Raw genomic sequence first — 12,565 nt, 5'->3', positions numbered from 1 at the left:
CAAGGCAAAAATATAATAAACAGCAGTGTTCTTCGCCCAATGCACAAGATGAGTTAGCATACAGTGGGGGTTTTCATCACTGTGTGTGAAAAGTGACTAAAAGATATGACTCAAATCTAGTCGTACTGTTTAGGTAAAATATTGTATCTACACAAGCAAATCCAAATGATTAATTGTGCAATTACTACCCCATCTACACCAGTGAGTCTTTGTGGATGTGTTCATAGTCAGTAGAAATAAAATGAGGTGTAAACGTTGCTTTACCTATGTCACATACTGCCATACCTACATGGAGGGAGAAGTAGCAGGATCCCTTCTCACGTATTTTGTGACACAGCTTGGTATGTCAATCAATCACCTTTCTGTTTCCTCTCAAATTCATTCTCTACCATTCCCCTGCTCTCATCTGTGTCTTAAAGACATGTATTTCCCAGGCTTCTTTGTCCTCTGATTTCTAGGTATATCCAGCCAATGAGATGCATTTTAAGAAGATATGAGGGTCAAAGAAGAGAAACCTGAATTTTCTTCCTTTTTCTGTTTTCTATGGAATTTCCTTACAGCTCTGGATTCCATCCAGTAGATTTCCAGCAGGTAGTCCTGGTCCCTGGGCTCGGGCAGTATCATCTCCTTTCTTCTTTGTTAATGTTTAAGACAATAAAAAAGAAAGATGCTAAAAGATTCATTTAAAGATAGGCAAAGGATTTTAACCAGAGCTCAAGTTTGACATTGCTGTCTGCTGCCATTCCAGAATTATTTCAACTGTGCTCTCTTCAGTAATGAAGAAGAGTCTGATGCATCCTGCTGCTCAGAATAGTTCTGATGTTTAGTTTTAGATATTTAATGGCTGTCCTAAGTGTTCTCAATAAGTACGGCATGAAAAGATATGAAAACATAGCATGCTTGGCTTTTTAGTCTATTACCATTTCAAAGGGCTATATCTTAATCAGATGCGTACCAGTGGAGCATAAATTTTTCATCTGCTTCCTTAGAAATAACTAGACTGTCATTTAAAGTCATTTCTATTCACTCATTCTCATCAACAAATGTAAAAATCTATGTTATGATAGGCCAACAAAGGGCGTTTTAGAGGTCTTCAAAATGTCACACCCCTTTCTTCTTACTATAATTAATTTCTCCTTAATAAATTCAGTTAGTTTAAATGGTTTCGTTTTGAAATTATGCATTGGGTACTTTTCACATTTTTATAGAAATTTACATTTAGTTTATGGTATGTGGTATGGAATATCATATGGTCTGTTTAAAATACTACTTATTGGCCTTGGCATGGTGGCTTATGACTGCCATCCCAGCACTTTGGGAAGCCAAGGTAGGAGGATCACTTGAGCCCAGGAGTTCAAGACCAGCCTGAGCAACATAGTGAGACCCTCGTCTCTACAAAAAATAATAATAAAAATTAGCCAGGCATGATCCAACCTGGGAGAGGTAGTGAGACCCTGTCTCAAAAAATAAAATAAGATAAAATATAACTTATAGAGTTGTCTTTACAGATGGACATTTTCATATCACTTTGAATGTACCAAGAGTATTTTTCAGTTTACTGGGGATTGGGAACAATGCAAATTATAGCATGTCAGTTTGGAAATGTGTGTATTCGTCTTTTAAGATGAACTCCAATAATTACATTGAAGATTTCAATTTTGCAAGTGTTGTTGAGGTGTGCACACACACACACACACACACACATTTACAAAAACGGATGTACTAGTTTCCTTTTGCTGCTGTATCAAATCATCATAAACTTAGTGGCTTAAAAAACACAAATGAATAACTATGGAGGTCAGAAGTCTTAAGTGAGTCTTACTGTGCTAAACTCAAAGTGTCGGCAGAACTGTGTAATTCTAATGGAGGCTCTCAGGTAGAATATATTTTCTCACCTTTTTTTCTGCTCCTAGAGTCCGCAGCACTCCTTGGTTTATGGCCCTCCTTCATCTCAAAGCTGGCAATGGCCAGTCAAGCCTTTCTCAAATTGCTTCACTCTGACACTGGCTTTTCTACCCCTCTCTTCTATCTTTTAAAGACACTTGTGATTACATTGGACCTAAGGGATAATCCAGGATAATCTCTTTACTCTAAAATTCAGCTGATTATTCAGCCTTAGTTCCACCTGTAAGCTTAATTTCCCTTTGCCATGTAACATGACTTATGGACAGGGTTGAGGAACTAGAATGTATCAGTCTGTTCTCTCATTGCTATGAAGAAATACCTGAGACTGGGTAATTTATAAGAGATTGAGGCAGGGTGCCGTGGCTCACCCCTGCAATCCCAGCACTTTGGGAGGCTGAGGCAGGCGGATCATGAGGTCAAGAGATCAAGACCATCCTGAACAACATGGTGAAACCCCATCTCTACTAAAAATACAAAAATTAGCCAGGCGTGGTGGCATGCGCCTGTAGTCCCAGCTACTCAGGAGGCTGAGGCAGGAGAATTGCTTGAACCCAGGAGGTGTAGATCACACCATTACACTCCAGCCTGGCGACAGAGCAAGACTCCATCAGAAAAAAAAAAAAAAAGAAAAAGAAAGAAGAAAGAAAGAAAGAAAGAAAGAAAGAAAGAAAGAAAGAAAGAAAGAAAGAAAGAAAGAAAGAAAAGAAAAAGAAAGAAGAAAGAAAAGAAAGAAAAGAAAAGAAAGAAAAGAAAAGAAAAGAAAAGAAAAGAAAAGAAAAGAAAAGAAAAAGTAAAAGAAAAGAGATTGAATTGGCTCATGGTTCCATAGACTGTACAAAAAGCATGATGCAGGCCACCTGGTTGGCTTCAGGGCAGGACTGAGGAAACTTATAGTCATGGCGGAAGGCAAAGAGGAAGCAGGCTCTTCTTAATGGGTGCAGCAGGAGCAACAGCGAGAGAGTGGGGGAGGAGATACACACTTTTAAACAAGCAGATCTCATGAGAACTTACTTATCATCAGGACACAGTACCAAGAGGGAAATTTGCCTGTGATTCAATCACTGCCCACGAGGCACCTCCTCTAGCATTGGGGATTACATTTCAACATGAGATTTTGGTAGGGATGTATATCCAAACTCTATCAACATGGTTATATATTATTTTTGAGGAGAGTGTATGGAGGGGGGGGTATTAATTCTTTCATCCACAAAGGGAAACTGTCAACTGCCCTCAGAGCAGCTCAAGATTTTTCAGAATAGTTTTCAAAATTCTTACTCAATTTAAGGTAAACCACTTTATAGTTTATGTTAGTATTTGTCTGCAAAATAATTATCTCTGATTTTATTTTATTTTATTTTTTATTTCACCTCTCCTTTCCTATCCCACGAATCTTTCTTAATATATTTATTTAAGGTGCAGCCTACCAATACACCCTTTACATATATGTCGATCTGCAAATAACATTTTATTATTATGTATGTGTTTATACATTTAAACACTGACCATGTTTGAGAGATTTATCCACATTGTTTTGTGAAGCTCAAATTAATGTCTTCTCACCCCATACGTTATTCCATCATACATCATATTTTACCAATTTAAGGCAGGATAGGTAATCAATGAAGTGACCCTCTTCTTGGGACACAGCACCTGTGGTGACTGTACAGTCAACACAATAAACCACAGCATTCGCATTGTAATTGAGCACATCCAAGCAAAGCTATCTTCAGTAGGGACTTTCCCCTTTAGAGAGCGTGCGCAATTTGATTTAACTTGTCCTCAGATTGACCTTTTGCTCATTTTAATAGTAAAGAACACACCCCTGGGTAGAGATTTAAGATGCTAATGAGACATGCGACATATGAACAAGCACGTACAACTACTGCACACGTGCACCTAGCTTTCTAGTAACATCTTCCCACCTCCTTATGAATAACCATGTAAGACTCCCATAAAGGGAGTCTCCCTTGTGCCAGTCTGTGCTGTCTCATCCTTAAGAGCAGCCAGCCCTGAATCCTCTCTCTCTCTGGGTATACTGTTTATTCTGCACTTAACTTCTAAAATATTCTTTTTCTTTTGCAACAAATTACTCTTTTTTGTAATAAAATACTTTTTATTTTGCAATAAACTACGCTAAAAACAAACAGCTACATTTCCTTTGTTGTGCATCTCTTGTTGAAATTCTAACTAAAAAGACAAAAACTGAGGTATCACATCAGCCGTCAACAATCCTTTATTCGTAGTAGGTATTGATCTCGCTTGCCTATGATCACCTTCCTGATACATATGTCTTAATGCATCTGTGTGAAAGTGTTTCTATGGTAAACATCCAGGCTATAGACATAATTAATTCACTAAATACTATTATATTAACTTTTAAAATGGCTACACAAATGAATATTCCTATCTGTAGAGTATGAAGATTTCTATTTCTTTTTTATTTTGATAGAGTCTTTACGAGAACAACTAAATAATAAGCTGAAATTAACTACAGAAAAAGAGATTGAAGGTTAATTTTATTGTAGAGCAGCCATAGGATATTTTTACATGCAACCTTATGAATATGTACATAGGATACTCATCTTAACTTATTAGTTCCTTCCCAGTGCCTTCCTGGCAATATCTACTGAGGCAAAAAGAACCAGTTCTCTGTTCTTCTTTTCTGGATTCCTCTTATCTCTGGTCCTACTGGTTCTCTTTTGGACTTCACACACAGTTCTTGGCATGAGTCTGCTTTAGAATCTTTGATGCATTTGTATCCAGGTGTCATCATCACCTGTCACAGATCTTGTTAAGGCAATAGTTTAAATTTCAGTTCAAATCTTTATTCCTCAAGGTTAATAAACATTTGTTTCTTTTCTATGTTTTTCTAATTTCATGTTCTCATTCCTTTATTACACCAAAAGGTGCTTTTTCTAATCTGAGTGTTCTCTCCTTTGCTTATGTTCTGTCTTTGACTCTGTCTTTTTTTTTTTTATCTCTGCAGTTGTTTCTCAGAGCTTTCTTCTGCCTGTCAACAATATAGGGAACATTTATGCTCCTTTTGGACTCAGTTTCTGAAAATGGAATTCCTCACAGTGACTCAGCATGATGCTTCTTCAGTACGGCTATTAAACACCTCATCCTGCAGACTCCAATATGTCAGCTTTTAGAATGCATTTCCCATAAATGTACATACTACAGAAAAAGTAGATACTGATACAGTATTATGGAAGACCTCAATTGCATGTTCAGTCTGCTTTCATTTGTAGTAAGCTCTGTGCTAATCTATTCATATTTATAATACCAACTTTTGCCGAAGTTCAAAAGAATATTAACCACTGGAAATGAATTTTAAAAACATAAAGCAACATTTTTTTAAAAAAACCTTACCTTTGTCCATCTGCTTTGTTGAATTCTTTCTTAGTTTTTGCTTTTTGATGTCTTCACTATATGTATAGGTAAAGACACAACATATATGTAGAGATTACAGTTGGCTCCATGATAATTGCAAGAATGGCCACCTTCCTTTATTCTTCTAAGTAAACAGAAATCACTAATTGCAAAGGTTAAAGAGAATGCTACTATCCTTTGTTTTTTAGGGATTCCCTTTCTTCTCTCCACATAAGTCACATAAGAGGGCTTATGGCTCATGTGTTTATTGTTAAAGGAAAACCTCACTGGACAGGATGAGCAAACAAAACTTGATGTTATTCCCTTACTATTGCTGGAAATAGGGGAGAAAGCACAAACCAAGTCTAGATGCTAAGTTCCCCTGAAATAAAGGACAGGAGAGATTTTAGCAGCTAGAGCAGGGGTGGGGTCTTAGATCATCTGTGTTTGTTAATTGGTTTTATCTTAAAGAGGCTAATTTTCTCCTATCTTTGTGACAAGCAGTAGTCTTACAACTTGCAGTGGGGCTCTCGCTAAAGCTAGGCTCCCACCTTATGTATTAGGTCATTCTAGCATGGCCTTAAAGAAACACCTGAGACCGAGTAATTCATAAAGAAAAGAGGTTTAATTGGTTTATACTTAGTTATGCAAGCTGTACAGGAAGCATGGCGCTGGCATCTGCTTGGCTTCTGGGGAGGCTTCGGGAAGCTTCTAATCATGGCAGAAGGCAAAGGGTGAGCAAGCATCTCACATGGAGAAGACTGGAGAAAGAGAGGAAGGGAGGTACCACACACTTCGAAACAGCCAGATCTCATGAGAACTCATTCACTGTAGTGAGGACGCCACCGAGGGTATGATGCTGAGCCATTCATGAGAAATCCACCCCGTGGTCCAGTCACCTCCCTCTCCCAAAATTGGGGATTGCAATTAAGTGTGAGATATGGGCAGGGACAAATATACAAACTATATCACCTTCTCACAGAGACTGGGAGAGAAGGGCGTCATCAATCTTGATGATTACATTGAAAAAGGATGACTCCAAGGTGCTTAAGAAAGACAGTCCTGGGTTGCAAAACTGGCAAAAGGCTTCTAAAAATGTACATCTCAAAGGGGCAGAAAACGAATTTACAATGGCAAGTGCCTAAAGTAAATGCTCTAAGAAAAGTCAGGGAGAGACCGCTGGAGCTAGGGCAACTGGATTATGTAAGTGCAGGGTGAGAGGGAGGACAGTTCCTAGAAGTAGGGAGAAGCCCCTCTGGGGTGTAGTCAAGCTGAGAACATGAAGGTTATCTTGATCAGTAGCCGTAAGGAACTATTCTCTGTGTGCTTGCCCCTCTGCTATTTTTTCAGCAGTCTTTTCTGCTGCTGGAAAAAATTGGGCCCTCCCTCTCTGCTATGGTCTAAATGTTTGTGTTCCCCAAAGTGTATATGTTGAAACTGAATACGCAATGTGTTGGTATTAAGGGGCAGGATCTTTTGGAAGTGACCAGGTCATGAGGGTGGAGCCCTTGTGAATGAGATTAGTGCCCTTATAAAAGAAGTCTGAAGCAGCTCCCCAGCCCCTTCCACCATGTGAGCATGCATAGAAGGTGCCATCTAGGAGGAATGGACTCTCACAAGACACTGAATCTGCTGGTGCTTTGATGTTGGACTTCCCAGTCTCCAGAACTGTGAGCAATACATTTCTCACAGTTTATTTCTCTTGCTTCTCTCAAGAGCAGCCTTAGGTATTTTGATATAACAGTCTAAGGTATTTTGATACAACAACAAAAATAGAGTACTTTCTTTTCCCAGCACCCTGCCCTTGCTGAGAAAGTCCTGACTTCCTGGACATCTGAGAGGTTCAGAGGCCTGTTTCCCTGACAGTCATCCTCTAAGCTCATGCCAGATCCTACCAGAATTTTGAGTCGCCCAGGGACTCAACAGCTCATCTGACCCTGTGAAGTAGGATGGAGAATTAATCTTTCATTTATTGGCTGATAAATGTACAGTAGCACATACAGGGTATCACCAATGAATTCCTTAAATGTTCTCTTGTTACAGAACTTAACGTATTTGTGAAAGCCTGGAAGGCAAGTGCTTGTACTTACAATCTCCCTAGAGTTCACCAGACTCTCTAAAGAATGCATTTCTGAGAGGCAGCAGGAATTCTTAGCCTGTCCTGGTTCTCCCTCCAAGTCACATTTCCCTGTCCTCCCCCCACAGTGAGCCACACACTTTCCTGATTTAGGCAGATTATGGTCACTTCATTTCCAGACTCCCAGGAATTTGCTGGGTGACAGACGCTGGCTGTTCCTCTGAAGAGCAGCCTTAAAAAGCAAGATGTGCCCAGGAACTGTTTCTAGTGCTGCTGTGGATAAAATGTAACCCCTTCCCTGGGAGTTGCTATCTTGCATTGCCACTGCTGGGTTATTTGCTCTCCTGTTCAGGAAGGCCATGCACTTGATCCGCTGGGTGTTCAGTCTCCCTTCTGGTCTTAGACTTTTAAAGGTTCCTTAGTTTACATTTAATAACAAATCTCAATTCACATTAATTCATGTTCGTGTTCTTACCATAAATAGACAGCAACAGCAACCCCTGCCAAGTCAAAAAAACAAGAAACACACTCAGGAGAACATAAGGAAATTTTTGGAGGCGACAAATATGTTCAGCAACATGGTTATGGTGATGGTTTCATAGGTCCATGCTTATATCATTAAAATGTATACATAGAGTATGTGCAACTTTTTATATATGAATTATACATCAATAAAGCTTTAAAAGCAATCAGACCATTCCATTATCAAGAAGGTGGAGGGAGAAGAGGGATGAGTAACCTGGCTGTCATGGAGCTATACAAAAAAAATGCCTGCATTGGAACCAATAAGCCACATACCATCCGAAGGGAAGCAATTGTTTTTCTGAAGACAGATTTTTACAGATTACATTCCTTTCTGGTTGAATCACAACACTGTCATTTTTTTATGAAAACATCCCCACCTTATTTTTAAGCAGAAAAACAAATTTAAAGCAGATAAAAAGCTCAAGCACAACATTTTTGAATTAAAATTTGAAGACACTATTTTGGATAGAAAGCAAGTGAAAAAATTTGCTTTTAAATTCTTTCCACCAGGCACAGTCTAGTCAACATGTTTGTCCCTTTTACAGACTTCAAATTGCACAATATTTTTAGGGCTGCTGGAGGCTAAAAGGAGAAAGGACAAATTTATCCCACCAGTTAATGATAATTTTGATTACCTTGATCTCCTACATTATGTGCTGTGCATGCTAAATAGTTTTGTTATTGCTGAAGTTAATGGTCAGGAAAACAAGAGTCCATAACCAATATTAAGTTTATCTCCTAATGAAGGCAAATAGTTCAAATTAGTTTGATGGTAGAATGAACAAATGTATTTTAAAAAGTATTTTAATTATAAAACACTAAATATATATTATACTTATTAACTCAGTTTCTTTATTTAAATGCAGGCTTAATTGCTGAATTTGTATGACCCTGAGTTTGAAATGCAGGGACCAGACCTTGAAGTTTGTTAATTAATATTAGAGCTCAATTAAACTCCTAATATATTTAATCTGGTGGTAATAATGGAATCAAGGTGAAAGAGGGTGATACACCAAAATGTCTGTAATCAAAGTGGATTAGAAGGTGTCACTAGAGTTAGCAGCTTTAGATAAAAGTTGATAATGGCCTTGGATTTCAGTCTGAAAATGTCGCTGGTCAGCATGGTATCACAGGTCAGCATGCTAGCACAGGACAGCGCTGTGGCCTGGTGACAGCTCTCCAGAAAGCCTAATCAGGTTCTCAACATTTAATTGCATTGAGGCAGGTACACATGAAAATAGTGGTGAAAGGAATAGCAGGGAAGTGGGTATCTGGAAATGCCACAGCAGAGCTTGCACAGGGCAGCAAAGTGGAGTCACAAACCCCTGGATGATTTGCATTTGCTGAAGATCAACAAGGATGCTTTGATATAAAGCCTCAATGGTAACTTTTTTTTTAAATATATACGGTCGTGCCTTCAATGGTAATTTAAACATCATGTTTTTTGGGTCATCTTCTGATTAAAGAGTAATATATGTTTATTATTGGAAATGTGGAAAATACACAAAACATATTTATTTTGTTTAATTTAAAAATTAAATCATAACTGAGACCTGAAGCACTATTAAGGTTTGGGGTTTTATGTTGAACCCTTTTTTCCTTAGTTCATCTCCATCTGTACCTTACCTCTGATATAAATTTCTCTATACGATGGGGACAAAAAACAAACAAAAAAACCTCCCCAGCTGGAGAGAAGTCCTCAGTCAACACTGCAGGTTCAACTTTCTCCACAGCCCTCTAGGCCATGTGCTTCTTTCCTATACCTTTTTCTCTTTGCTTCACAGGGCCACTTCCAAACCATATCCTCTCCCTTTCTTAAAACTCATAACCTCATGTTATGAGGCTTACCAGGCACCTTCTCTCCTTATCACAATCTCTCTTAACTCAAGATCACTCCCCTGATTCTCTGAAGATTTAGTTCCTGTCTCACTGTCATTCTTCCAAATCCAAGCCTGTTCTTGGTGATTTCAATAGTTAGGAAATATGTCCTCCTTGGCCTCCTCTCCTTTAAGGAGCTAATACTTTTCACTTCTCAATATCTTATTTCCATAATTATACCTTGGAAACCTTGTCTTGCCTATAGCTTTATCCCATACTATGATCATCCCCTCCATTTTTCCCCATTCTATCCCTCTGATACCTCAATGTCAGCAATTCCTAGCTCCCCAGTGGGCCCTACAAGTCTTTAAGCCTTTCACTGTTTCACCATCCCTCATCCCTATCATATCTTACTCCTTACTCAGCTAAAATTCTATCCATCTATCCATTCATTCATTTGCTCATTTCTTCAACAAATATCATTGCTTTATTAAGTAGCCATGTAGAGCAAAGACAGAATGTAGAAGGGAAACTAGTGTAAAGAACTATGTCAAAGAAAGACAAATATCTCTACTCTGATTGAGCTTACATTCAACATAAACAATTAACAAGATAAATAAGACAAGTAAATTAAACTGATGCTCAGGTGGTGAGGCTAATGGAAAGAATAAAGCAGACATGGGATGTCAGATGGAGTGGATTTTCTATAAAGTGGCCAGGAAAGGCCACAGCAGCACGTAACATTTGTGTGACAACTTGAAGAAAGAGGACAAGGAGGAGGCTAGAGAGATCCAGGCAAAGGGAAGAGTGAGTGCAAAGACTCTGAGCTGGGAGTAGTCCTGGAGGCCAGTGTGTCTGCAGTGAACTGGGCAAGAGGGAGAAAGGAACAGCTGGAAATTGGGTCGTACTGGACATGAGGTAGGGGTAGGGCTGGAAGTGATGCAGAGTCAAGTTTTCAAATGAACACTTTGAATTCATACTCAGCTCCCTTTCTTCCCATCCTGCTCGACTCACCCATAGCCCTGGTTAGATACAACTCTTTGTCTACACTGTATGCAGTTGTGCAGCCAAACTCTACTAGAACAGTGTGCTCCACCATAGAGGCTGGGATCACTTGAATTTCATGGTAACTCACCTCGAGTGAGCTCTTCATGTAGTCAACCATTCCCTTTCTCTCCCCACACAGCACCACGTGCCACACCACACAAACACACATATTTACCACACACCACACATGAACATACTATCTACCACACACACACATGCAAACACATACACCACACCACACAGAGATACACTCGCACCAATCAGTCCAAATCAGACGCTATTCAATACCTTCTCTAACTTTCCTTAGCCAAACATTTCTTCTCAAACAGAAAAAGGTAAATTCTGGGTCCAAGGGCATGTGGGCAAGTTGACATGGTGGCAGCTACTTGTGGAGGTTTCTGTCTGATGTCTTCACTGTATTCAATCAACTAAAAGGCAAGGCTGTCATCTGAGAACAAAAATGGGAAAGGAGAAGAGAAAGGTGAAGAAGAACAGCACTAGAAGTTACATTGCTCTAACTTTTAAAATCACTATGAGCACAATAATTTCTCGTTCCTCTTCTACAGGAAAAGAGCATACCTGCTTACTAGAAAGCGCCTAGCTTTAGAAATGAAATGCCCCTTAGTCCCAGGGACATAAGAAGAAAATAACCACATTCCACTGATTCAGGTTGAGTCACTTCCTCAGTAAGAGATGGTGTGATGAGAGATCGTTCATGGAGGTGGGCCGCAGATGCAAAAATCTGTGGACTTTTGATTCAGTCCTGACAGAATTTTAATCTTGGCCCTCTCACTTCAAACTGAGTAATAAATCTCATAACCCCTCTGAGACTCAAGATTCTCATCTGAAAAATGGGGATAATCTTGGATTGTTTTTGTAAGGACTAAGTGACTAACACATGTAAATATGTTACCGTAGTTCGGCACACAGAGGAAACGTGATAAATGGAGCTTAGCAGGAACATATTCCTCTTGGTACATACACAGCATGACATTTTAAAAACACCAACCGAATTGTCTATATAATACAGTTTCTGCTTCAAGGTTCCATATGCCTCATGGCAGAAAATGTAGCTTTTATCAACTCAGGGTAAACCTCAATTTTGGGAGCAATGGATTTCCCTATCCACTTTCTCCCTGGAGTGATGGCTTAATTTGATAGGCTTAGGTAGTAGCATCACAGCAGTGGGGAAGAAGCCCCTAACCTGTCCACACCGGCAGGATCTGAAGTGCATCAGCTTCTGGCCTGGTCCACATGCACAGATATTTCTTCACACTAGCATCTGCTGGGCTCTCTGCCCACCTGTCCATTCTCCAGTCAGATGGTCCATCCTTTTCTGCTCTGAGGAATTCTTGAGCCAAGAATCTAGGTGTTTTCTTAATGCTTCTTCCTTTCCCTATAAATCTATCACTACACCCACTCAACTGCCTTCAAAGCAATACTGCAAATGCATCTACTTTTATACACTTCCCCGCGCACCACCCTAATAATACAAGTCATTATCACCTCCTTGAATTTCTACAGCATCCTCCCGCTTGGCTGTGCTGATTTCATTATCCTTGTGTAACTTTCCAGTTCACCACTGTGCAGTCTCAGTAATCTTTAAAAAGCATAAATTAAGTACATTATTCTCCTGCTTAAAAATCTCCTGATTTCATCTCATTTCATCTAGTATCTAATATTCTTTCCCTGGTGTAGACAACCTTATGTGACCTGGATCCTGCATAATCTGACTTCATTAAGTATCAATCAACCTATCATGCACATTTGCTCTCTTGTTCTTAATACACTAAGCTTTTCCATAATGCATGTACCCTGCAT

General features: G+C 39.3%; 1 long non-coding RNA gene across 1 annotated transcript in view, besides 1 other annotated feature; it reads left to right on the top strand.

Annotated features, from left to right (window-relative positions):
* LINC01807 (long intergenic non-protein coding RNA 1807) overlaps positions 1–12,565 on the top strand; it is a 128,137-nt gene that overhangs the window by 57,972 nt on the left and 57,600 nt on the right. The gene's annotated exons all lie outside the window — the stretch shown is intronic.
* Positions 10,743–11,942: an enhancer, noted in NCBI's record as "MED14-independent group 3 enhancer chr2:229406198-229407397 (GRCh37/hg19 assembly coordinates)". NCBI's record gives its function as "activates an origin of replication core promoter dependent on BRD2, BRD4, P300/CBP and CDK7 cofactors, and independent of MED14, by STARR-seq in HCT116 cells {active_cell/tissue: HCT116}" and the evidence as "EXISTENCE:reporter gene assay evidence [ECO:0000049][PMID:35650434]".

The sequence above is a fragment of the Homo sapiens genome, chromosome 2 (genome assembly GCF_000001405.40).
Source record: "Homo sapiens chromosome 2, GRCh38.p14 Primary Assembly".
Taxonomy (NCBI): Eukaryota; Metazoa; Chordata; class Mammalia; order Primates; family Hominidae; genus Homo; species Homo sapiens.
Note: the sequence above shows the minus strand (reverse complement) of the source record. Positions and strands in the feature narration are given on the sequence as shown.